Source organism: Homo sapiens, chromosome 2 (assembly GCF_000001405.40).
Source record: "Homo sapiens chromosome 2, GRCh38.p14 Primary Assembly".
In the NCBI taxonomy this organism is placed as follows: domain Eukaryota; kingdom Metazoa; phylum Chordata; class Mammalia; order Primates; family Hominidae; genus Homo; species Homo sapiens.
The window spans coordinates 230,506,282-230,533,907 of NC_000002.12; the positions used below are offsets into that span (position 1 = coordinate 230,506,282).

Sequence of the window (27,626 nt, forward strand, 5' to 3'; positions counted from 1 at the left end):
CACTTTGCCTTGGTCTTACAGGAACCTCAAAGAAGTGTATACAGAGTGAGGATAAAAAGTGGTTCACTCCCAGGGAATTTGAAATTGAAGGAGACCGCGGAGCATCCAAGAACTGGAAGCTAAGTATACGCTGCGGTGGATATACCCTGAAAGTCCTGATGGAGGTATTCTAGTGACAGATGGCTGAAACCAAGGATTTAGCTGTCATGCTTCACTAACACCAAGCTTTAGCAGAATTTCTCAGTGCCCAGAAATTCATCATGACTTCCTCTGCCCAGGTCTCCATGCATATGTTATTACTAACGTTCTCACCTGAACATTACGTTGGCTGGCTTATATTACAGCTTAATCCTCTAAGTACTTTATTTCTTACCCTTTTGAAGGTTGGACAGTAAATTGTGGCCTTGACTCTGCCATTAATAAACTGTGCAATTTGGTCACATGAAAGTAACTTAAGTTGGAGGGGAGGTCTTAAATTTTCGGGGGAGGTAAATGTTAAATACACACACACACACACACACACACACACACACACACACACACATATTTAACATATATATATGTAGTTCCTGGATTACAAAATATTTCAACAAGATTTCTTTGAATAGGCCACCTCAAATTTATTCTTGTAAGAGAATATAAATAAATTGCATTTTAAAGTAACATTGCTTCTCATATGAACCCCTTGATGTTACAAAGCAGGCACAGGGTCTTTGCTGCAGATGAACCTGTGTCTTTAGACTCCAAATACAGTGCTTTCTGTTGCACGCCCACAGACAGTCCTTCCTCATGCCACTCTAACAATTAAAAAAAAAATCTGCCAGGCACAGTTGCACATGTCTGTAGTCCCAGTTACTCAGAAGACAGAAGCAGGAGGGTCACTTGAGCCCAGGGGTCCTGGGCTTAGTGTACTATGCCAATGAGATATCCATGCTAAGTTCAGCATCAACATAGGGGACCACCAGATTGCCTAAGGAGGGGTAAACCAGTCCAGGTTGGAAACAGAGCAGGTCAATACTTTCCTGCTGATCAGTAGTAGGTTTGCACCTGTCGATAGGCACTGCACTGCACTCCAGCCTGAGCAACACAGCAAGACCCCATCTCTAAAAATAAATAAATAACTATTACACAAATAAAAGATCTTTGCCCAGTAAATACTTATTGAACCAACATCTAAAGCTGTGGAGGGTATACAAAGTGTGAGCCCCTTCCCAGAAGGAAGGCTGTGCTTTCATAATTACAGGCCTGGACACGGTGTCAATGTTCTCACAAGAGACACCTGCAGGAAGAGGTACAATAGATCGGAGAAGAGAAAGTCATTTCTGGCTTTGAGGTTGAGGACCATTTTGTGGAACTCTTGCACTGAGCTAGGTCTAAAAAGATGAACAACTAGCAAAAACGTAGAATGGGGCATTCTACATATATAGAAAGGACAGCATGCAAATCTGCTCCACAATGTGTCAAGAAGTTGGGAGTAATGAGGTGGCTACATTCTCTGGACTGATTATAGAAGTCATGAGGCCAGAGGAAGGCATTGAAATGCTTCCTTGAATCCCTGGAGAATCATGAAAAGTAATTTCCATGAAAATACCTTGAATTTGAGTTAATAGTGGGATATCCAGGTAGGAATATTTGGAAGGCAGTCAGAAATACTAAGCTCACAAAATAAAAGCAAGAACCCATCAAATCATTTATCTCTTTTCTTTTTTAGAACAAATTTCTGCCAGAACCACCAAGCACAAGAAAAAAGGTGATGATCAAGTGATCTTCTGCCAATGTCTCGTCTATTATGTTGTTGATTTTCTATCTCTGTGGACTTACAGTCTTTAAATTGACCCATCATCATAAAATTTGATTTTATAATATGATGCTTTTGCAGTTGCTGCTTTCAAACATTATTCAATGTATAAGTCCAGGGCTCCTTTGAACATCAAAACGTTTGAGATAGAGGTGGGAACAATCCTCAGAAATAGATTAAAAGACAGAACTGAATTGTATGTGTTTTTTAGTAAAGGAGCTAAATGCCATACTTTTTTTTTTTTTTTTTTTTAAGAGAAAGAGTCTCACTCTGTCGCCCAAGCTGGAGTGCAGTGGTGTGATCTAGGCTCACTGCAACCTTCACCTCCCTGGTTCAAGCGATTCTTGTGCCTCAGCCTCCCCAGTAGCTGGGACTACAGGCGTGTGGCATGATGCCCGGCTATTTTTTTTGTATTTTTAGTAGAGATGGAGTTTCACCACGTTGGCCAGGCTTGTCTCAAACTCCTGACCTCATGTGATTTGCCCGCCTCAGCCTCCCAAAAGGCTGGGATTACAGGCATGAGCCACCATGCCTGGCGCCATACTTTCTTTAAATATAAAAGATAGAGCTGGCATTGGAAAAATAAGCATGAGTTTGAAATGCACAAAACAGTGTGCCTTTGCAACCTCAACATAAACACTGGTTGTTTTTCACTGGTTTTTCTGGATTCTATATTTTAGAAATAAATATGAAGCAAAAGTTCCCCTAGAAACATCCCATGGTCACTACACATGACCTAATGGAGAATTCCCCCTAAAATGTATATATAGGCATATGTCACCCAGGGAAGCAAACAACAAAAAACATTCTCTCCTTTTCTTTTATCTTTTACCTCCACCACACACACACACACACACACACACACACATACACACACACACACACACACATACACACACACACGCGAGTTCTTCAGGTGAAAATTTTGGACTGGGAGGCAGAGTGCCCTGTGAGGCTGCTGACCTAGAAAATCTTTTCCTTTGTGGAGAGGCCCTTTGGCCCCAGTAAAAGGGCTGCACAGACCTCACTTCTATCTGTGAAGGTGAAATTCTCCCTCTGTGGAGGTAGTATGTGGAGTTCATAGACCAGTGGTCTTCATACTATATGTATTCTATGGAAAAATGGTGAGATCACTGATGCCTTCCATGGCCTCTCCAAGGCTGGGTATAAGAGAGAACCTGGTGAAGGAAGGAGATGGAAGAACTTCCATTTTCCTAAGCTCTGACATGGGTGACCTTGGATATTTCTGCCATACCAGGAAGTCACAATCTTTACAAAGCTGGCTCCTGGGGCTACCTGCTCCACTGGCTTTATGACTAGAGATTCAGTGACTAGGCTCTGTATCCACTGGGTTTTCTGGAGAAAGACATTATTTGATATAATTATTAAAATCAAACATGTCTACCCACTGCCAGACAGTCAAGGCTGATGCAGTCTGGGCTAATCAATTGAGCTGGCCATCTCCCATCCCTTCATCACAGGCACCCTCTCTCCATTCCCTGAGGGCCCACAGCTCTAGAGGTGAAATTGCCTCGGTTCTCAGAGGATCTCCCCGGAGGGTCTATCTTCCCTCCTCTCCCCTCGGTTTCTAATGCTTGTGTCACTCTCAGCACCGCGTGGTAACTGCTATTGTTGCCAGCTTTCCTGCTTATAAGTTTTTTGTTAAACCTGCTGGTGATAGCTGAGATACCCCAGGATAATAAGTCATAAAAGTCCAAGCTAATCGTTTACTGGCTGCTAAGAAACCTCTTCTCCCAAGTGACAATTGTGTTCACTTGTTCATGCACTTATGTATCCATTAAACAAACAACTGTGGAGCCACTACAAAGCTCCAGGTGATGGGCTTGGCCAATGAAATAATGCAAAACAAAGGAGGCCAAAAGGATGAACCTTAAGGATTCTGTCAACCTTATTGTCTTACCTGGGTGAATAACTCATGGGATGGAGTGGGAGATTCTAGGCCACTAAGCTGCTATACTTTATCTTAGCCAAAAGGCCCAGATTGCTTCTGGCAGGTGGTAATATGGCCACCTCTTCTATCATCATGCCTTGGATCCCACTGAGTGGTTTGTCTAAGGCCTCTCTGCCTTGAGCTACAGGTAAAAGCTTTAGCAGTCATTGTTTCATTCCACAGATACCCTAGGTCAAAGCAAGCTCTCAAGATTCAGGAGAAAGTGGAGAGGTGCTTACCTTCAGGAGAAGAGCTACAGTACTGGGGATCTTGGAGGCATTTTGTCTTCAAAGATGTGTTCCTGGAGAGCTGCAGAAAGGGTTAGAGTTATTCCTGGGACACCTGCATGGTGTCCAAGACTCTGGGCCCTGTGGTCACTGGGAGCTGTGGAGGAAGAGTCGGCCGATTCCCTTTGCAGCTTCTCTGGATGGAATGACACTTCCTTTTTTTTTTTTTTTTTTTTTTTTTTTTTTTTTTTTTTTTTTTTTTTTTTTTTTTTTTTACAGAGTCTAGCTCTGTCACCAGGCTAGAGTGCAATGGTGCAATCTCAGCTCACTGCAACCTCCACCCCCCGGGTTCAAGCGATTCTCCTCCCTCAGCCCACTACAGGTGCGCGCCACCACACTCAGCTAATTTTTGTATTTTTAGTAGTGACGGGGTTTCACCACGTTAGCCAGGATGGACTTGATCTCTTGACCTTGTGATCTGCCCTCCTCGGCCTCCCAAAGTGCTGGGATTACAGGCATGAGCCACTGCACCTGGACACTTCCAAATTTAGACAAACATGCCTGCAGGCCCCTTGAAGTAGGAGGACCGATAGAGTTGCTCCAGCTCAGTCTCCCTGAATGGTTTCACGAAGGCCTGCCTTGGGTGTGAGAGCCAGGAAATGGCACTTGCATTGGGCCAAACTGTCACTGACACATAATTTAGTGCTTTTTTATTCTTCAGTTAGATGTACAGGTCCATAAAAGCAGACATGAAACAAAAGAAGGGCTGTGGCATGAATCCCTTAAAAATAAAGAAGTCTGTTCAAATGTGGGGTTAATGAAAAATCACACTCAATATTGTACCAATCTTTCTGTTTTTTTCAACAGAGAATACTGGAATCTCACAACAATACCTTAGTTGACCCTTGTGTAAGTATAAATTTCCGACTATGACCCCAAAATAAGTCAGGCCTTTCTCCAGGCACACTATGTCATGACTGCCTTTCCCCGAAGCATGCTCAGTCTCAGTTGGAGTATGTTGCTGTGTGTGATTAGAAGATGCAAGCCAGGTACCTGGGTCTGGGATTGGGTGTCTCAGTGCAAAAGCAGCCTTTTGTTTCAGTAGAAATCTTCAAATTTCCTCATTTCCCTTAGAAAGTGAGTATAGGAGGCTGAGCTCTAGATCACCGAGGCCTCCAGAGACAAGAACTTGAAGTAGTAATGGACAGGGCTGGCCTGCCGATTAGGGAGAAGGATCAAATGTCAGAAAATAAAAGCATTTTCAAGTAGGTGGTGGGAATGGAAAGGAAAATCCCAAATATCTGCTCCAAGGTGCAGACAGAGCTCAGTCAGCCAGAAGGAACAGACCGAGCCGAGCTGGTGAGTTCGAGGTATGGACTCTGTCATTAGTTCTGCAGAGGAAGACACACACGAAAAGTGAGTCTCTTATGAAGCCCCTATTGCCACTCTTGAGGGAGGTTTAGGCTCAGTATGCTGAGCTGGTTAGGACAAAAACCATCACCACTTGGCAACTGATGAGGCATGTTTATTCTCACTTCTTGACTGGTGCTCAATGATGTACAAACCTGATTCCACAGGCTCCATTATCAACCAAAATTAAGGCTGTTTAGGAATAAATAAATTTTTTGAGACAGGATCTTGCTGTGTCACCCAGGCTAGAATGCAGTGACACAATCACAGCTCACTGCAGCCTCAACCTTCTGGGCTTAAGTGATCCTCCCACCTCAGCCTCCCAAATAGCCAGGACTACGGGTGCATGCCACCACATCAGCTAATTTTTTTAATTTGTTGTAGAGCCAGGGTCTCACTATGTTGCCCAGGCTTGTCTTGAACTCCTGAGCTGAAGTGATCCTCCCAACTCAGCCTCCCAAAGTGCTAGGATTACAGGCATGAGCCACAGTGCTGGCCAGGAAGAAATAATTTGATAACGATTTCTTAAAAGCCAAATGTGAGGAGTGACTCAATAAAACACACCAACAAAGTTGGGAGTATTGGGAGTTTTTAACAAATTGAAATGCCTTTTTTTTTTTTTTTTTTTTTTTTTTTTTTTGAGACGGAGTCTCGCTCCATTGCCCAGGCTGGAGTCCAGTGGCACGATCTTGCCTCACTGCAACCTCTACCTGCTGGATTCAGGCAATTCTCCTGCCTCAGCCTCCCAAGTAGCTGGGACTACAGGTGTGTGCCACCATGCCTGGCTGATTTTTGTATTTTTAGTAGAGACAGGGTTTTGTCATGCTGATCAGGCTGGTCTTGAACTCCTGACCTCGTGATCCACCTGCCTCAGCCTCCCAAAGTGCTGGGATTACAGGCATGAGCCACCGCACTGGCCACAAGTTGAAGTGCTCTTATAGCAGAGGTCCCCAAACTTTTTGGTGCCAGGAACCAATTTTGTGGAAGACAGTTTTTCCACAGACCGGGATGGGGTTGGGGGCAGGATGATTTTGGGATGTTTCAAGCACATTAAATTTATCCTGCACTTTATTTCTATTATTATTACATTGTAATAGATACTGAAATAATGAAATAATTATATAACTCACCATCAAGTAGAATCAGTGGGAGCCCTGAGCTTGTTTTTCTGCAACTAAAAGTTCCCATCTAGGGGTGATGGGAGACAGAGACAGATCATGAGGCATTAGATTCTCAAAAGAAGCACGCAACCTGGATCCCTCGCATGTGGAATTTACAACAGGGTTTGTGCTCCTATGAGAATTTAATGCTGCTGCTGATCTGACAGGAGGTGGAGCTCAGGCAGCAATGCCAGCAATGGGGAGCTGCTGTAAATACAGATGAAGTTTCACTCACTCGCCCACCACTAACCTTCTGCTGTGTGGCCCATTTCCTAACAGGCCATGAGTTGGTACAGGTCCTTATCCCGGAAGTTGGAAACCCCTGTTTTGTAGAAGAGTTTAGGAGAAGGGAGAGGGACTCCTCACACCAGAGCTGTCCTTTCTCATTGAAGGATACAATACAGAAGTTACAATCATTGGATACAGATCGCAACATGCAGGCTCAAATGTATCCATGCAAGACAATCAGTAAAACTCTAAGATCCAGAAATAAATCAGTGTCCTTTTCAGGGTCACTGGGTTATGCATTAATCACTGTGTCAACAATTTGAGAGACTCATGATAAGATTCAGGGACAAGATTTCACCATGAATCACAAGACCTTCCCAAGGTGGGTTAATTGGAAAGCCTGTTTACTTTTAAACTAAACTGCCAAATGTGACCTGTAGATTATCACATTCCCTTTTTGATTAAAAAAAAAAAAAAATCTTCCCATGGAAGTATTGCTGATCAATCTGCTAGGTTAAGGGGATAGATGTTCTTCATTCCTTGTCAATGGGAAGGCTTATTCCAGGAGGTCATGTCCCTCGGTGGGGGAAAAAAACCTTGTTATTGCAATCAGGCCAGTTTGCTGACAAGATGAGGTAGGTCATGACACACAGCTACCTGCTATTCTCCTGAATGATAAATCATCTCACTGGGAAATCAGTATTTTGGCCTTAGCCATGGATCGAAAGCAAGCACAATGCAAATCATGAGTGACTTAATAGCCAAGAAAATAAACTATGTTTATTATTAGGTTGAGGCAAAAAAGTAGTTGCGGTTTTCGCCATCAGAAGTAATGGTGAAAACTGCAATGACTTTTTTGCACCAACCTAATATTATAATCATAACAACTTGAAAACACAATAGAAAAAAGAAATTAGTCCTAAGAGTAACCAAATGAACAAGTCATCAATTTATAGTTGCTGTTGCTTGTTGAATACAAGCAAACAACTTGAAAACACAATAGAATAAAGAAATTAGTCCTAAGAGTAACCAAATGAACAAGTCATCAATTTATAGTTGCTGTTGCTTGTTGAATACAAGCAAACAACTTGAAAACACAATAGAATAAAGAAATTAGTCCTAAGAGTAACCAAATGAACAAGTCATCAATTTATAGTTGCTGTTGCTAGTCTTCAGACTTTCATAATTTTACTTTTCTTGGAAGAAATAAAACAATGAGTGATTCACAGCATTAATAATTGACTAGCAGAAATATAATGCACACAAAAATTATAATCAAAAAGAGAATTTGTGTACAAGAATGGGGGAAAAAAAACCTGTTCCATTAGGGAGCCAACTAAGAAAGAAAATTAAATCCAGGTTCTTCTTTAGAGACTTATTATAGCCAGGAAATAATTAAGTCCAAATTGCAAGCAAATAATAATTTTTGAAACTCAAAAATAATGGTCTGGGCTAGAATCTAATAACAACTATGCTATAATTTTCTTCTGAAAGATAATTTTTCTCTCTTCGATCTCCCTTTTCTGCCAAAGAAAAATCATAGGCCAATTTTATTTGCAATATAAGTTTTAGTCTTATTGTACTTGACCTGATTATTTATATAAAAGGCAACAGGAATAGTGATTGTCCATATAGACTCCTTTTAAGTTGGCTTTGCTGGAACTTTTTCGTTAGACATTTTAGATTAGACTTTCAAAAGCTTCTTCAGGCTAGAAAGCCAAGCCAAGGATTTATCATCAGATTGTGTCTGCACTACTTGTAAGAATTGGGTAAATTCCTCCTTTCTTGAAGTCCCCCAAATACCTCAAGGTTTCTGGGCCTGTTGGGAAGGGACATTACTTAACACGAGGTCAAAAAACCTACAAGAGATTGCAGTACATTGAGCTCCATAGAGATAGTGCTGGCGCAAGTGAGAGCTGGACAGGCCCTGGGCGACTCTGTACCTTGCTGAGGAAAAATAACTAAACATGGACAAAGCAGATCCTAAGAAGCTGAGAGGTGAAATGTTATCATATGCATTTTTTGTGCAAACTTGTCAGGAGGAGCATAAGAAGAAGAACCCAGATGCTTCAGTCAAGTTCTCAGAGTTTTTAAAGAAGTGCTCAGAGACATGGAAGACCATTTTTGCTAAAGAGAAAGGAAAATTTGAAGATATGGCAAAGGCGGACAAGGCCCATTATGAAAGAGAAATGAAAACCTATATCCCTCCTAAAGGGGAGAAAAAAAAGAAGTTCAAGGATCCCAATGCACCCAAGAGGCCTCCTTTGGCCTTTTTCCTGTTCTGCTCTGAGTATCGCCCAAAAATCAAAGGAGAACATCCTGGCCTGTCCATTGATGATGTTGTGAAGAAACTGGCAGGGATGTGGAATAACACCGCTGCAGCTGACAAGCAGTTTTATGAAAAGAAGGCTGCAAAGCTGAAGGAAAAATACAAAAAGGATATTGCTGCATATCGAGCTAAAGGAAAGCCTAATTCAGCAAAAAAGAGAGTTGTCAAGGCTGAAAAAAGCAAGAAAAAGAAGGAAGAGGAAGAAGATGAAGAGGATGAACAAGAGGAGGAAAATGAAGAAGATGATGATAAATAAGTTGCTTCTAGTGCAGTTTTTTTCTTGTCTATAAAGCATTTAAGCTGCCTGTACACAACTCACTCCTTTTAAAGAAAAAAACTTCAACGTAAGACTGTGTAAGATTTGTTTTTAAACCGTACACTGTGTTTTTTTGTATAGTTAACCACTACCGAATGTGTCTTCAGATAGCCCTGTCCTGGTGGTATTTAGCCACTAACCTTTGCCTGGTACAGTATGGGGGTTGTAAATTGGCATGGAAATTTAAAGCAGGTTCTTGTTAGTGCACAGCACAAATTAGTTGTATATGAGGATGGTAGTTTTTTCACCTTCAGTTGTCTCTGATGTAGCTTATACAAAACATTTGTTGTTCTGTTAACTGAATGCCACTCTGTAATTGCAAAAAAAAAAAACAGTTGCAGCTGTTTTGTTGACATTCTGAATGCTTCTAAGTAAATACAATTTTTAAAAAACCGTATGAGGGAACTGTGTAGACAAGGTACCAGGTCAGTCTTCTTCCATGTCTATTAGCTCCACAAAGCCAATCTCAATCCCTCAAAACAATCTTGTCATACTTGAAAATATGACACTCTAGTCAAAGCCTTGGTAAAATAATCAGTGTTTCCAATCTGTCCTGTTACAAAAGAAACAGATTATTATTGAACTTATGCAAATAACCATTGTCATAAGAATGTTTATGAATAGTTTCCAAATTATGGCAAATTCATGTAGAGAGAGAAAAGTAACTGTTTTGGTTTTGCTCACAAAAGTCTACTTTACCTAAGGGCTGTCAGATATAAGTAACTTAAAAGAAAGAGAAGTTTTCTTGACTTTTGAAAACAAAATATGAAAAGAATCGGCAATGTTTCAAACAAAAAGTCATAAAAGTCACTTTATTCCTCCATCAATTTAGTCTCATGTAATTCTTATTTTGCTGGTGTTGGGTTAGCAATCTTCATGAAGACATCAGTTTTTCATTAGAGTTCTGGAAGTTTTATCTAGTCTAACTATATGATCTCCAAAGTTATCAGAAACCTATGTTCAAGAGTACTTGCCAGAGCCTTTTCCATAAAAAAGCAATTTTGGATTATAGTTGACTTCAAATGCTTGTAGAGAAAATTTTAAAACGGTAACTGTGGATGTCAAAAACTTAGAATAGCCATGGTTAAAATCTAATAGAAGTACCCAATTGACAAGGAAATTTAGATATTTTGATTACCTGCAGCATTTTAAGATAACAACCAGAATCACGACTGATAGTGTCCCATTAAAACTATTAGATTTTTACAAATGTCATATACTCTTTAGGATATTCACATTAATAACATATCTATACAAATATTACTTTAGAAAAGACTTAATCAAAATTATGACTGATAACAGATTTTTATAAATTTATATAATTTGGGGAACATTTTATCGATAACATACTCATAAGTGTAACTGAAGGAAGATCTAGTATTATGTATCATTTGACAGTTTCTCCCATACAATTTACCAAATCAGTCTAATCATTTAATATCTCTGCAAGAGGAGAGATACATTCTTTCAGGTCCCTCAGAGGTCCAACTGGAAAATAGCAAAGTAAATTTTAGGCCAAAAAAACAATTTAGGATGTTGATCTTGGGGAAACCTGCCAAAGATGTAGAAAGGTATAAAACACTTGATCAAAATGGAATCACAGATCATTGTAAAATAATAATTATTCATTTAACCAGAGTTATAATCAAAAGACTTCAAAAGCAATACAGAAAGTTGTATGGATGTAAAAATCTTAGCTCTTTTAAAGCTCAGTTTTCTTGAGTAATCAAAAACTTAATAAAGACAATACAGGAATTATCTCAATAAAAATAAGTTTTGGGCCAGGCGCCATAGCTAACACCTGTAATCCCAGCACTGTGGGAGGCCAAGGCAGGCAGATCACCCGAAGTCAGAAATTTGAGACCAGCCTGGTCAACATGGTGAAACTCTGTCTCTACTAAAAATACACAAAAAATTAACCAGGCATGGTGGCATGTGCCTGTAGTCTCAGATACTCAGGAGGCTGAGGCAGAAGAATCGCTTGAGCCCAGAAGGCAGAGGTTACAGTGAGCCGAGATTGCACCACTGTACTCTAGCCTGGGCAACAGAGCAAGACTCCATCTCAAAAAAAAAAAAAGTTTTAAAAAGAAAGAGATATCAGAATTAAAAATCAGTATCTTTTAATTTTATTAAAAGCAAAGCAATATTTTAAGCAAACTTTGTTGTTCTAACATAGGGGACCAAATTTTTTGTTTTTTATTAGTTTATTTTTAATATCAAATCTCAATCTTTAGAAAGACTTAGAATTTCCTTTTAATTATAGCCAACTTGATCATATACAAAATTTATTTCATAGGGTTTCTTTTCACAAACCTTATTATGACTTAGACTGTTTGCGAAACGCTTGGACTTTTTGCTTTTCTCTGTACTTTCTTAAATAACTAGACATTTTACTTTAGAACAAAAAACTTACAAGACTTTTTTCTCATGCAAAATTATTCTCTTTTAACCTGTCTTACCAAAAATATTTATAACTTTCTTCGCTTTTCTCTCTCCTTCTTACTGGTTCCTTTCTTTATTGCTCCTTATTTTAAAACAACCTTAAATAACCCCTGAATTAAACACAATTACTTTTTCTCAGTAAAGAACATATTTTTATGCCTTCTTATAATTTTCTGTCATGAAAAACACATCTTACTTTTTTGACACATTTTAAATTTAGAATTATATATATTAATTAGAATGTTTAAACTTTCAGTAACTTTAAATTTTATTGAAAACCTAGGAAATAAGAAATCTTGAATTGTCTATCACATGACAGTATCTTACAAATGAGAACTCTTTTATAATTTTTAGAAACATTTTCCCATAACAAAAACATTTTTTATCTTAATTGGAATTGACCTAGACGTTTAATGAGCATCTATTTTTGAATTTAATTTAGCAAAACTTTAAGATTATAAATTACATTAAAAGTTTATTTATATATGTTTATCCCATTTACATTTATTTTTAACAGTTTACCTAGATTACTTATGAAAATTGATATATTAGACAAAGCTAGTCATCATTTCAAGTTATTTTCCTGTCAACCAATTTTATAGCCTGTGAATATCAGATGTTCACTTAAGAAAGAATCTTAAAGTTAAATATATGAGTATTTTGCTGATAACTTAGAAGATAGTTGTTTTATTAAAGCAAAAATATTTAATCAGTCATACTTATCAAAAGATTTATTCAAGTCATGTGAACTTAGATGTTTGGGACTACTAATTCCTGAGCATTAATGTATTTATAAGTCAGTCTGTTACTACAGAGAGGTTTTATAGCTTTGATTTTAAAATTTTGGTCATGAATCAGGTAAATTTCACTAGTTTTAAAAGGAGAATTGAATTAAATTGTGCCTTTCAAAATGGTACAAGTTAAAGTTATCTGTCCTACATGACTGAAGCCCTTAATGAGTGTAAAACATTTATATCTCAAAGCACAGAGAAAGAATTTAATCCTTCCATATGGCTAATGAAGTTTTACATTTCCAAGGGACTGTGAAGTCCAGCAGGGCATTTAAAGGGTATTGTCTGATATTGGATAAAGAGTTTAATTGGGTTTACTTCCACTTTAATGGGGGTGGTTGAATATGTTTTACCAATGTCAGTGGGAGATTGGGAGCATAAGTGATCCAGCAAAGCTTGCAATAACTCATCGGTGTCATTCGTTAGTCTTGGGTCAGAAAAAATTGTTGGTGATAATTGTGATAATTTTAATTGTTTCATTTTCATTCTTTAGTTGTTCTGTTTGCTCCTTCTGTTCCAAACGTAAATACGTTTTCCCCCTTTTGAGAGAAGGAAATGTGTGTATTGTGACATTCCAAAAATCTCTACCTAAGAGACAGATGGGAGCCAAGAGAACAAGTAGAAAGGAATAAATTCAGTTAAGGAAGAATATGAAGGCATAGGGGTAGAAGGAGGAGAAGAAATTGGAATGAAAGGGAGAAAGCTTCTGAAGTCTTTTTCAAATCAGAAATAGTGTGGGATGGCCTTTTGCTCATCTCTTCAATGAAGGCCATTTTTTTTCCCCAGAATTTCTTTTAGGAGCATCTCACTGCTATCAGAAGTAAGTCAGTTTGTCTGGTTCTAAAACCAGCTTTTTCCAATTGTGTATGGTAATACATCAGCTTAGGCATTTTCAAAAGATCCCCATTTTGGCCACTGCTGCTTTTGACCATCCCGGGTTACATGGGTCCACTTATCTAAGTACTTGCAAGAAGAAGGACTCTAAGTGTTACACATCAAACCAGCTGGTGCTGATAGAGGCAGTGTACCCTGAGTCTTAGAAGACATGTTTCCCATCTTGGTTGTTTTGAATGAGACAAGTAATGTAGTGGATTAAGTGTGGTGGTTTTGAATTTTTCTTCCCCGAAATTTCACTCAATAGGCTGAAAAGATTATCTTACATGTCTCTGATTCCAGAGTCACCTCCAAAGAAGTTTCAGGGTATTCATGGACAAGAGATAATCAGTTTTTATGAAGCTTGCCAGCTGAGCGAAAAGTTAACAGTGTGGGGATTTTCCTATGAGACTGCTCCATGTTGCTGGGGGTATGCCCTGACACCTCCGCTATTGTGGGTTTCCTAAAAACCATTTGGTCACAGACAGAGAATGTTTCTTAACTTCAGAGCAAGACTGCCCTCCCTCATGCACTCAAAAATGAGAAAGCTAAGGAAAGGTTGTCCCATCCAAAACCTTGAGAGAAATAATTCACAGAGCTCCTATTTTACACCGCCCTAGGATTCAACAAAAACTCCTGTCTAGCCAAGGAGAAAACCAGCTTCAAAAAACCAGAACTTCCACCACGATGGGAGGTTCATTGATTTTGGGAGGAACTCCTCTGCAACCCCCAGCCAGGGCATCCAAGTTCAGGAACACAATGTGTTCATTGCCAGTACCTGCACAAAGGTCGGAGGCCGCATATGTCGTCCAGGGAGGTCACTCCAAAATTCTGCCAACTACACCGGAATGTTGACGAAAATTTAGCCTGTTGAGAAATAAATAATTTGATAACAGTTTATTGAAAGCCAAATGTGAGGATCAACCCAAGAAAACACACCAACAAAGTTGAGAGTGTTCCAGAGTCTGTTACAAGTTGGAATGATTTTATAGGTAGGGTCAGGAGAAGGAAGAGGGACTCTTCACACCAGAATTGTCCTTTCTTATTGGAGGATACAATAGAGAGGTTACAATCATTGGATACAGATTGCAACATACAGGCTCAAATGTCTTCATGTAAAACAATCAGTAAAACTTTATGATTCAGAAATAAGTCAGCACCCTTTTCAGGGTCAGTGGGGTATGCATTAATCAGTATGTCAACAACTTGAGGAACTCATCATGAGATTCAGGGACAGGATTTCACCATGAATCACAAGACCTTCCCAAGGTAGGTTAATCTGGAAGCCTGTTTACTTTTAAATTAAACTGTCAAAAGTGGCCTGTAGGTTTTCACCATCCTTTCTCTGCTTGTCATGTGGATGCAGAGAAAAGGGAGTCTGCCAAACTTGAAACTTACCCAACTGTCCCATAGAACTGATCTTTATAGTTTCTTTTGAACAAATGTGAAACTTGAGCCCCCCAGTTTTGAAATCTCAGAAAGCTCCATTTGTCTTATCAGAGGCCGTTTCTCAGGAAACCAACCATCAGGCCTCTAAGATTGTAACAAGGAGCTGAAACACACCAGGTCACAGCATCTGGACAATGCAACCCAGGTAACTGACCCCCGGTGCCTGCCTAACTGACTATCTGCTTCTTGTTGACATATTCCTCTTCTTTACCCCTAATTCCTAGTTTGCTGCATGTAGTTACATTTCTGCCCTATAAACCCCTAATTTTAGTCAGTTATGGAGATGGATTTGAGACTGATCTCCCATCTCCTTGGCTGCAGCACCTGATTAAAGCCTTCTTCCTTGGCAATACTTGTTGTCTCAGTGATTGGCTTTCTGTGCAGTGAGCAGCTGGACCTAGATCAGGGTGTTTCAACAACAGATTTTGGTTTCCTGACAGTAAACATGTTGCTTGTGGCTTGGCTGCCATGGGCCACGAGTCTCAGAAGCCCTCCTAAGCAGCTGCCCACTCAGTTTTGACTGGAGGTGAGTTGTGGATTCTCTCTGGCCCTGCTGCTACGGGCCCAAACCACATTCCTGATTGCCTAGGAAGAACAGCCTTTGAAATTCCACATCTGCATCTGGATAGATGAGTATCCTTTGTGGGCCCAGACAGCAAGATCTGCTCTTCTCTATTGGGGAACATTTTAAAGGAATTTCCATTTGCAGGTTGAAAAAACCCAAATGGCTGAGAAAGGGAAACACCCTGACTGTTTTGATATGGACTTTCTTGATGGATTGTTTGTAATTGTGTGTGTGTTCCAGCAACTGAGTGTTCATTGCAGGTACCAGACAGTGGGATTGGCTCCTATCGATTTGGGAAATTCCAAAGGAATTTCTGTTTGCAGGCTGAAAAAGCCCAACCGATGGAGAAAGGAAAACACTCTTGACTGTTTTAGTTGGGACAGTCTTGGGGCTTGTTTGTTGTGGCAGCAGATGGATCATTGTGTTTTGGTGATTGTGTGTGTGTTGATACAGTCATGGGAAATTAGAATTTGATAAACTGATATTCTTTCATAATACTGTTTAGCCCCAATATTCTTTGGAATCTGGAGTTTGTTGTTAAATGAGAAAGTGGGATGGAGTTCCATGTATCCAGGCTTTTAAGCTGCTGTTCTAAACAGAGTTGGGCCTGGTTAGTATGTGATGTTCTCCTTTAGTGCTCTTTGGCCCCAGTGTTCTTTTTTTTTTTTTTTTTTTTTTGAGACAGAGTCTTGCACTGTCACACTGTCACCCAGGCTGGAGTAGAATGGTGTGATCTCAGCTCACTGCTACCTCTGCCTCCTGGGTTCAAGCGATTCTCCTGCCTCAGCCTCCCGAGTAGCTGGGACTACAGGTTCACACCACCACGCCCAGCTAATTTTTTGTATTTTTAGTAGGGACAGGGTTTTGCAGTGTTGACCAGGATGGTCTCAATCTCTTGACCTCATGATCTGCCTGCCTCGGCCTCCCAAAGTGCTGGGATTACAGGCATGAGCCACTGGCACCCAGCCCCAGTGTTCTATTTTTTAAAAAATATTTTTTACTTTATTTTTTTGAGGCAGAGTCTCGCTCTGTTGCCCAGGTTGGAGTGCAGTGGTGCCATTTCAGCTCACTGAAACCTCCATTTCCTAGGTTCAAGTGATTCTCCTGCCTCAGCCTCCCAAGTAGCTAGGATTACAGGCACCCACCAGCATGCCCGGCTAATTTTTGTATTTTTAGCAGAGACAGGGTTTCATCATGTTGCCCAGGCTGGTCTCAAACTCCCGATCTCAAATGATCCACCTGCCTCAGCCTCCCAAAATGCTGGCCCCAGTGTTCTTTGGAGCCTGGGGAGATTTGGCCTTTAAAAATCAAACTGCCTTGAAAACTGCTTCACCCAAAATTTTGGTTCACAGCCTTCACCAGATAACATATCCGGGCAAAGTGTAGCCATGTGAACATGTTTGTAGACCAGTGAATTTGTATTGCTATCTCATGGCTATAATTCTGAAGTAAAAGCAATTGGATCTTTGTTTGTGTGTATACACGTTTAGATGTGTTTATGTGTATGTACCTTTATTATGTTATATGTTATGCCTACCAAATTGGCTTATTTTAAAAAAGTGCTGGCCAGGGATGGTGACTCACGCCTATAATTCCAGCACTTTGGGAGGCCAAGGCAGGTGGATCACTTGAGTTTAGACGTTTGAGACCAGCCTGGGCAACATGGTGGAACCCCATCTCTATAAAAAATAAAAATAAATAAAAGCAAAACAGTATTCATTAATTAAGTTCAAAGTATTTTTCAAGTTCATATGACTTAAGAACATCTTTAATAAACAATCTGGCTTTACAATTATTGGTAAAATAGGCTGGATGTGGTTGCTCACACCTGTTATCCCAGCACTTTGCGGGGCCAAGGCAGGCAGATCGCCTGAGGTCAGGAGTTTGAGACCAGCCTGGCCAACATGGAGAAACCTTGTCTCTATTAAAAATTTAAAAATTAGCTAGGCATGGTGGCGGGTGCCTATAATCCCAGCTACTCAGGAGGCTAAGGCAGAAGAATCGCTTGAATCTGGGAGGTAGAGGTTGCAGTAAGCTGAGATCATGCCATTGCACTGTAGCCTAAGTGACAAGAGTGAGACTCCATCTCAAAAAAAAAAATTATTGGTAAAATAAAAATATAAATGTCTTTAGAATTGTCAGCATATATTTCTGTCTGGATTTTATATTTGTCTCTGCTAGATATTTTGAGGTGACAGAGCTTGGCACAGAAGGTTATAAAACTATAAACCAGCTGGGTGTGGTTGCTCACGCCTGTAATCCCAGCACTTTGAGAGGCCGAGGCAGGTGGATCACCTGAGGTCAGGATTTCGAGACCAGCCTGACCAACATGGTGAAACCCTGTCTATACTAAAAATACAAAAAAAAAAAAAAAAAAAAAAGAAAATTAGCCAGGCGTGGTGGCAGTTGCCTGTAATCCCAGCAACTCAGGAGGCTGGGGCAGGAGAATCAGTTGAACCTGGGAGGCAGAAGTTGTAATTAGCAAAGATCGCACCATTGCACTTCAGCCTGGGCAACAAGAGTGAGATTCCATCTCAAAAAAAAAAAAAAAGAAAAAGAAAAGAAAAGGAAAAAAAACGTATAAACCCAGCCAAAACAAAATGATCATTCTTTTAATAAGCAAGACTAATTTAATGTGTTTATTTAATCAAAACAGTTGAATCTTCTGAGTTATTGGTGAAAATACCCATGCAGTTAATTTAAAGTTCTTACTTAGGTGAACATTTGATATTCACAGGTTATAAAATGGTTAACAAGGAAATGATGCATAAAGAATCTTATAAACTACTAAAAATAAATAAAATATAAATGGATAAGTGCTATAGATAAAGTTTTTGTGTAATTTAAAATCTTAAAGTCATTTTGGATGCTCATTGGTTGTCTGGTAATTTCCAATTAAGAAAAGGTTATGATATGGGGAAACATGTTTCTAAAAATTGCAGAATGTTTCTCATCTATAAAATGCTAGTATCTCATAGGCAACTCAGGATTTCTTGCTTCCTAGGTTTTCACTAAAATTTAACATTACTAAGGACAAGAATTCTAGTTAATATGTAATTCTGTATATAAAATGTGCCAAGAAGATGTGTTTTTATTGAGAAAAAGAATAATTTTGTCTAATTCAGAGGTTATCTGAAGGTTACTTCAAATTATGGGCTTGAAAAGGTTATTTATGAAACAAGGTAAAAAGGAACAAGTAAGTAAAGGAGAGAGGTGTAAAGAGAGTTATGGATATCAAGATGTAATTTTGGTAAGGAAGGTTACATAGAAAGGAGAATAATTTTGTATGAGAAAGGATTTTGTATGGTAAATTTTTGTCCTAAAGTAAAATGACTTATTTTTTAAAAAAAAGAAAAAGAAAATTTAGGACAAAACAGAAAGTTCAACCATGTCATAGATGGTCTGTGTAAGCCATAGGTAATTTTTTTCCCTGTTTCCCTGTGTGTCTATCTTCATGAGCGTACAGAAAAAACAGTAAGTTGAAAAGTTTAGATAATATTATTTAAAACCTGACAGAAAATTGGAGAAACTTGACTAATTAACATTGCTCATAGTTAAAGCTCTTAGTCTTGATGAAGGTGAATTAGTAAACTAAGAAAGTTTGTGAAGAAATACATTGGCACTCCAAGATGGCCAAACAGGAAGAGCTCCGGTCTGCAGCTCCCAGCGAGACTGAAGAAGAAGACAGGCGATTCCTGCATTTCCAACAGAGGTACCTGGTTCATCTCATTGGGACTGGTTGGACTCTGGCTGCAGCCTACAGAGGGCAAGCTGAAGCAGGGCAGGGCATCACCTCACCCAGGAAGCACAAGGGGTGGGGGGATTTCCCTTTCCTAGACAAGGGAGTATACTAGAAACAATATACTCCTGACCAAACACTGACTTTTCCTGCAGTCTTAGCAACCGACAGACCAGGAGATACCCTCCCATGCCTGCTTCAGCAGGTCCCGCACCCACAGAGCCTTGCTCACTGCTAGCACATCAATCTGAGATCAACCTGTGATGCTGCAGATTGGTGGGGGGAGGGGCACCCACCATTGCTAAGGCTTGAGTAGCTCACACTGTAAACAAAAAGGCAGGGAAGCATGAACTGGGCGGAGCCCACCACAGCTCAGCAAGGCCTACTGCCTCTATAGATTCCACCTATGGGGGCAGGGCATAGTAGAACAAAAGACAGCAGAGAGCTTCTGCAGACTTAAACATCCCTGTCTGACAGCCCTGAAGAGAGCAGTGGTTCTCTCAGCAAGGCATTTGAAGCCTGAGAATGGACAGACTGCCTCCTCAAGCGGGTCCCTGACCCCCAGGTAGCCTGACTGGGAAACCCCTGCCAGTAGGGGCTCACGGACACCTCAAACAGGCAGGTGCCCCTCCGGGATGAACCTTCCAGAGGAAGGATCAGGCAGCAATATTTGCTGTTTTGCAGCCTCTGGTGGTGATACCCAGGCAAACAGGGTCTGGAGTGGACCTCCAGCAAACTCCAACAGACCTGCAGCTGAGGGGTCTGACTGTTAGAAGGAAAACTAACAAACAGAAAGGAATAGCAAAAATATCAACAAAAAGGACATCCACACCAAAACCCCATCTGTAGGTCACCAACATCAAAGATCAAAGGTAGGTAAAACCACAAAGATGGGGAGAAACCACAGCAGAAAAGCTGAAAATTCCAAAAACAGAGCGCCTCTTCTCCTCCAAAGGATTGCAGCTCCTCACCAGCAAGGGAACAAAACTGGACGGAGAATGAGTTTGACAAGTTCACAGAAGTAGGCTTCAGAAGGTCAGTAATAGCAAACTTCTCCGAGCTAAAAGGTCATGTTCTAACCCACCACAAGGAAGCTAAAAACTTTGAAAAAAGGTTAGACGAATAGCTAATTAGAATAAACTAGAATAAACAGTGTGGAGAAGAACTTAAATGACCTGATGGAGCTGAAAACCATGGCACGAGAACTTCATGACGCACGCACAAGCTTCAATAGCCGATTCAATCAAGTGGAAGAAAGGATATCAGTGATTGAAGATCAAATTAATGAAATAAAGTGAGAAGACAAGACTAGAGAAAAAAGAATGAAAAGAAACGAACAAAGCCTCCAAGAAATATGGGACTATGTGAAAAGACCAAACCTACGTTTGATTAGTGTACCTGAAAGTGACGGGGAGAATGGAACCAAGTTAGAAAACACTCTTCAGGATATTATCCAGGAGAACTTCCCTAACCTAGCAAGACAGACCAACATTCAAATCCAGGAAATACAGAGCACACCACAAAAATACTCCTTGAGAAGAGCAACCAGAAGACACGTAAATGTCAGATTCACCGAGGTTGAAATGAAGAGGAAAATGTTAAGGGCAGCCAGAGAGAAAGGTCGGGTTACCCACAAAGGGAAGCCCATCAGACTAACAGCAGATCTCTCAGCAGAAACTCTACAAGCCAGAAGACAGTGGCAGCCAATATTCAACACTCATAAAGAAAAGAATTTTCTACCCAGAACCTCATATCCAGCCAAACTAAACTTCATAAGTGAAGGAGAAATAAAATTCTTTACAAACAAGCAAATGCTGAGAGATTTTGTCACCACCAGGCTAGCCTTACAAGAGCTCCTGAAGGAAGCATTAAACATGGAAAGGAACAACCAGTACCAGCCACTGCAAAAACATTCCAAATGTTAAAGACCATCGATGCTATGAAGAAACTCCATCAATCAACAGGCAAAATAACCAGCTAACATCATAATGACAGGATCAAACTCAAACATAACAGTATTAACCTCAAATGTGAAAGGGCTAAATGACCCAATTAAAAGACATAGACTGGCAAATTGGATAGAGTCAAGATCCATCAGTGTGCTGTATTCAGGAGACCCAACTCACATGCAAAGACACACATAGGCTCAAAATAAAGGGATGGAGGAAGATCTACGAAGCAAATGGAAAGCAAAAAAAAGCAGGGGTTGCAATCCTAGTCTCTGATAAAACAGACTTTAACCATAACCAAAACAAAGATCAAAAGAGACAAAGAAGGCCATTATATAATGGTAAAGGAATCAGTTCAACAAGAAGAGCTAGCTATCCTAAATACATGCACCCAATACAGGAGCACCCAGATTCATAAAGCAAGTCCTTACAGACCTACAAAGAGACTGAGACTCCCACACAATAAAAATGGGAGACTTTAACACCCCACTGTCAATATTAGACATATCAATGAGACAGAAGGTTAACAAGGATATCCAGGACTTGAACTCAGCTCTGGACCAAGCAGACCTAATAGACATCTACAGAACTCTACACCCCAAATCAACAGAATATACATTCTTCTCACCACCACATCACACCTATTCTAGAAGTGACCACGTAATTTGTAGTAAAACGCTCCTCAGCAAATGTAAAAGAATAGAAATCACAATAAACTGTCTCTCAGACCACAGTGTAATTAAATTAGAACTCAAGATTAATAAACTACTCAAAACTGCACAACTACATGGAAACTGAACAACCTGCTCTTGAATGAGTATGGGTAAATAACGAAATGAAGGCAGAAATAAATATGTTCTTTGAAACCAATGAGAACAAATACACAGTGTACCAGAATCTCTGGGACACATTTAAGGCAGTGTGTAGAGGGAAATTTATAGCACTAAATGCCCACAAGAGAAAGCAGGAAAGATCTGCAATGAACACCCTAACATCACAATTAAAAGAACTAGAGAAGCAAGAGAAAACAAATTCAAAAGCTAACAGAAAGCAAGAAACAACTAAGATCAGAGCAGAACTGAAGGAGATAGAGACACAAAAAACCCATCAAAAAATCAATGAATCCAGGAGCTTGTTTTTTGAAAAGACCAACAAAATAGATAGACCACTAGCAAGACTAGTAAAGAAGAAAAGGGAGAAGAATCAAATAGATGCAATAAAAAATGATACAGGGGATATCACCACAGATCCCACAGAAATACAAACTACCATCAGAGAATACTATAAATGCCTCTATGCAAATAAACTAGAATATCTAGAAGAAATGGATAAATTTCTGGACACATACACCCTCCAAAGACTAAACCAGGAAAAAGTTGAATCTCTGCATAGACCAATAACAGGTTCTGAAATTGAGGCAATAATTAACAGCCTACCAACCAAAAAAGTCCAGGACCAGACAGATTCACAGCCCAATTCTACCAGAGGTACAAAGAGGAGCTGGTCCCATTCCTTCTGAAACTATTTCAATCAGTAGAAAAAGAGGGAATCCTCCCTAACTTATTTTATGAGGCTAGCATCATCCTGATACCAAAGGCTGGTAGAGACACAACAAAAAAAGAGAATTTTGGGCCAATATCCCTGATGAACATCAATGCGAAACTCCTCAAAAAAATACTGGTAAACCAAATCCAGCAACACATCCAAAAGCTTATCCACCATGATCAAGTCACCTTCATCCCTGGGATTCAAGGCTGGTTCAACATACGCAAATCAATAAACGTAACCCATCACGTAAACAGAACCAATGACAAAAACCACATGATTATCTCAATAGATGCAGAAAAGGCCTTTGACAAAATTCAACGCCTTTCATGCTAAAAACTCTCTCAATAAACTAGGTATTGATGGAATGTATCTCAAAATAATAAGAGCTATTTATGACAAACCCACAGCCAATATCATGCTGAATGGGCAAAAACTGGAAGCATTCCCTTTGAAAACCGGCACAAGACAAGGATGCCCTCTCTCACGACTCTTATTCAACATAGTGTTGGAAGTTCTGGCTAGGGCAGTCAGGCAAGAGAAAGAAATAAACGGCATTCATTTAGGAAAACAGGAAGTCAAATTGTCTCTGTTTGCAGATGGCATGATTGTATATTTAGAAAATCCCATCGTCTCAGCCCAAAATCTCCTTAAGCTGATAAGCAAATTTAGCAAAGTCTCAGGATACAAAATCAATGTGCAAAAATCACAAGCATTCCTATACACTAATAACAGACAAACAGAGAGCCAAATCATGAGTGAACTCCCATTCACAATTACTACAAAGAGAATAAAATACCTAGGAATCCAACTTGCAAGGGATGTGAAGGACCTCTTCAAGGAGAACTACAAACCACTGCTCAACAAAATAAAAGAGGACCCAAACAAATGGAAGAACATTCCATGCTCATGGATAGGAAGAATCAATATCATGAAAATGGCCATACTGCCCAAGGTAATTTATAGATTCAATGCTATCCCCATCAAGCTACCACTGACTTTCTTCACAGAATTGGAAAAAACTACTTTAAAGTTCATATGGAACCAAAAATGAGCCCACATAGCCAGAACAATCCTAAGCAAAAAGAACAAAGCTAGAGGTATCATGCTACCTGACTTCAAACTATAATACAAGACTACAGTAACCAAAACAGCATGGTACTGGTACCAAAACAGATATATAGACCAATGGAACAGAACAGAGGCCTCAGAAATAACATCACACATCTACAACCATCTGATCTTTGACAAACCTGACAAAAACAAGAAATGGGGAAAGGATTTCCTATTTAATAAATCGTGCTGGGAAAACTGGCTAGCCATATGTAGAAAGCTGAAACTGGACACCTTCCTTACACCTTACACAAAAATTAACTCAACACAGATTAAAGACTTAAATGTTAGACCTAAAACCATAAAAACCCTAGAAGAAAACCTAGGCAATACCATTCAGGATATAGGCATGGGCAAAGACTTCATGACTAAAACACCAAAAGCAATTGCAACAAAAGCCAAAATAGACAAATGGGTTCTAATTAAATAAAGAGCTTCTGCACAGCAAAAGAACCTATCATCAGAGTGAACAGGCAACCTACAGAATGGGAGAATATCTTTGCAATCTACCCATCTGAGAAAGGGCTAATATCAAGAATCTACTAAGAACTTAACTTTACAAGAAAAAACAACCCCATCAAAAAGTGGGCAAAGGATATGAACAGACACTTTTCAAAAGAAGACATTTATGCAGCCAACAAACATGAAAAAATGCTCATCATCTCTGGTCATCAGAAAAATGCAAATGAAAACCACAATGAGATACCATCTCACGCCAGGTAGAATGGCGATCATTAAAAAGTCAGGAAACAACAGATGCTGGAAAGGATGTGGAAAAATAGGAATGCTTTTACACTGTTGGCAGGAGTGTAAATTAGTTCAACCGTTGTGGAAGACAGTGTGGCAATTCCTCAAGGATCTAGAGCTAGAAATACTATTTGACCCAGCGATCCCATTACTGGGTATCTACCCAAAGGATTATAAATCATGCTACTATAAAGACACATGCACACGTATGTTTACTGCAACACTATTCACAATAGCAAAGACTTGGAACCAACCCAAATGTCCATCAATGATAGACTGGATTAAGAAAATGTGGCACATATACACCATGGAATACTATGCAGCCATAAAAAAGGATGAGTTTGTGTCCTTTGCAGGGACATGGATGAAGCTGGAAACCATCATTCTAAGCAAACTATCACAAGGACAGAAAACCAAACACCGCATGTTCTCACTCATAGGTGGAGTTGAATAATGAGAACACATGGACACAGGGCGGGGAACATCACACACCGGGGCCTGTTGGGGGGTTGAGGGGCTGGGGGAGGGATAGCATTAGGAGAAATGCTAAAACCAACATGGCACATGTATACCTATATAACAAACCTGCACGTTGTGCACATGTACCCTAGAATTTAAAGTATATTTAAAAAAAGAAAAAAGAAAAATAAATTAATTAATTTAAAAAAAGAAATACATTGGCAGTTTGGCATTTCTTTTTTTTAATATAATTAAGCATGAAGCCAGATGTAGTGTGGAGCCAAATTTCACATACATGCTTGCATTGCTTCACATTCTATCTGCAATTGTGCATAGATAGTACTAGCACTAAAGTACTTCCTAGTTACATACCTAAAGTGAGTTTCTAAATTGTACAAAATGTATAGTGGGTGTGGTGGACCTAAGGACATTTAATTGTGTATCAGGAACAAAATATGCATCATATGTTTTTAGGCTCTGAATAATACTATAGCCTCCAAGGTAAACTGAGTAGAAGAATAATTGGAGGTTGGTTTCCTATTTATTTGTTTTTGCTCCTAATTTTCATGTATTTGCTGTTTGTTCTCCTTTGGATTTTCCTTATATATACATATATGAATTTATGTTTTTTAGTTTCTAATGGAAGGCTTTTATTTGGTTCTATGAATAGTCATTTTGTTTCCTATGTGTTTCCAACAATTCATTATTTTCTCTATTTCTCTAAACTTCCTAATCTACCTTTGTCAGGTCTCCAAAAATTAATAGAGGACACCGACCACTTAAAATTTGATGGTTTTTCTTACTTCTAACGATCTAGAGAGCTGTAAGAGCTTTACGGTTCCTAGAAAAAAATAAATAAATAAAAGACATAAGTTCTGAAAAGTAATAGCACTTTTTTATTTTGTTATTTGAAAAGTAGGTGAGAATAGAAATGTTTAAATGATGTTTTTTTCCAAGGTAATTCAATTCAATCAATAATTTGAGTTAGTTTCAGATCTTTTCCTTTAATGAGGAAAAACTGTGATATAGGTACAAAGTTTTAATGTTCAGAAAATATTGGCCTATCCTTAAGGAAATTATACTAATTGGGATTTCTCTCAAATTACTTTAGTTATCTTTACCATTATTAAAATTAAGTGACATTCACTTAGATTAAGTAGTAATAAAAAAAAAAAAGATGTGAGACTAGTGAGTTTTGATCCCAAGCCTTCTATCACTGTTGAGTCTTTCATGTGTGTACTTGAAAACAAAATATCCACAAGTGTTTCACTGGTTTGAAGAGTCTAGTGGTGAAAGTTACCTAATCAGTTGTCAGTATTGTAACTGATTAGAAAGTTACCTAATTAGTTGTCAGTACTATATTACCAATCATGGAAATGTGTGCTAGTGCTCTTTTATTTTTATTTTTATTTATTTATTTATTTTTGAGACGTAGTCTCGCTCTTTCACCCAGGCTGGAGTGCAGTGTCGCGATCTTGGCTTACTGCAACCTCTGCCTCCTGGGTTCAAGCAACTCTCCTGCCTCAGCCTCCCCAGTAGCTGGGATTACAGGCGCCCACCACCACGCCTGGCTAATTTTTGTATTTTTAGTAGAGACGAGGTTTCATCATGTTGGCCAGGCTGGTGTCGAACGCCTAACCTTATGTGATCCACCTGCCCCGGCCTCCCAAAGTGCTGGGATTACAGGCATAAGCCACCGTGCCCGGCCCTGATGCTCTTTTAAAATAGCTAAAAAGAAATTACTGTGTGTGTGCTTAATCTCATTTTGTCCCTGTTTTGTTGCATAGTATCTAAATGAAAGGAGATTATTTATCCTCATGCTAAATTTCCAAAACTGATATTTACATTTACCATTTTTTAATGATGGAGAGAAAAGTTAATTGTCTTTATTTTGATAAGTTTAAAATAGGACCTATCCCATTTTTTACACTTTTAGTCACAGTTCTGTCACCAGAATGCTAGCAATTAGATATATGCGAGGAGTAACCTAAATACTTTAATACAATGGTTTGAAGTGCTATAGGAAGTAATAACTACTGGACACTAAATCACAGTGTTTGTGACATGTCACAGAAAATGATAGGACTTTCTGCAGCATAAATGTCCTCTTAACCAATCCTTGTGCTGTTAAGTTACAGGGCTTTAACTTCTGGGTCTGAAAAAGGCACCTACTTCTGCTAAATCTTGAACATTACCCTAGTTTAAGCCTCATCTTCAGACCTGGGAGAAAATGACAGTCAAAATGAACTGCTTTCATGAGACACTGGGCCAGAAATTAAAACTATTCAATCTGTCTAGGCCAAGGGACTGTCATGGCAGATGTGGACATGTGAGATTTGAGGGTTTTCTATAAATTAAATATTAATATCAAAAGCACACTGATTCAAGGCCAGAGTCTAGGCCCATGTGTCAGAATAACAGCATTTTCCTGGAGCATTAATCGGCTCTTTAATAGAAGATTGTAAAAGGTTTATGGAGATCTTACTCTACAAACAAACTGATAAAATTAAAATTGTTTATAAGGTTTTAAAAATT

At 39.3% G+C, this 27,626-nt stretch overlaps 1 protein-coding gene, 1 long non-coding RNA gene and 2 pseudogenes across 6 annotated transcripts in view; 3 read left to right on the forward strand and 1 right to left on the reverse strand.

The window, feature by feature from the left end:
• Positions 1–7,024, reverse strand: part of LOC101928816 (uncharacterized) — a 71,871-nt gene extending 64,847 nt beyond the window's left edge. For 2 of the 3 annotated variants that reach the window (XR_427235.4, XR_001739925.2), the window contains exons 1-2: positions 6,797–7,024; positions 3,989–4,058 (exon numbers count right to left, since the gene is read on the reverse strand). This is a non-coding gene — a long non-coding RNA (uncharacterized LOC101928816). Of the gene's footprint in view, positions 1–3,988; positions 4,059–6,516; positions 6,557–6,796 lie in introns of those variants that run through there. The other variant, XR_001739926.2, reaches the window with a different exon arrangement.
• The window catches only part of SP100 (SP100 nuclear antigen), a 129,406-nt gene that overhangs the window by 90,081 nt on the left and 11,699 nt on the right, over positions 1–27,626 (forward strand). The window contains exons 22-25 of one of the 3 annotated variants that reach the window (NM_003113.4): positions 22–164; positions 1,712–1,750; positions 4,844–4,885; positions 8,814–10,246. In NM_003113.4, coding sequence (NP_003104.2) covers positions 22–164; positions 1,712–1,750; positions 4,844–4,885; positions 8,814–9,359 — 770 coding nt within the window. In that variant the 3' untranslated portion in view covers positions 9,360–10,246. Of the gene's footprint in view, positions 1–21; positions 165–1,711; positions 1,866–4,843; positions 4,886–8,813; positions 10,247–27,626 lie in introns of those variants that run through there. The other 2 variants (NM_001080391.2, NM_001206701.2) reach the window with 2 other exon arrangements.
• Positions 820–1,105, forward strand: RN7SL834P (RNA, 7SL, cytoplasmic 834, pseudogene; annotated as a pseudogene).
• On the forward strand, positions 8,643–9,805 carry HMGB1P3 (high mobility group box 1 pseudogene 3; annotated as a pseudogene).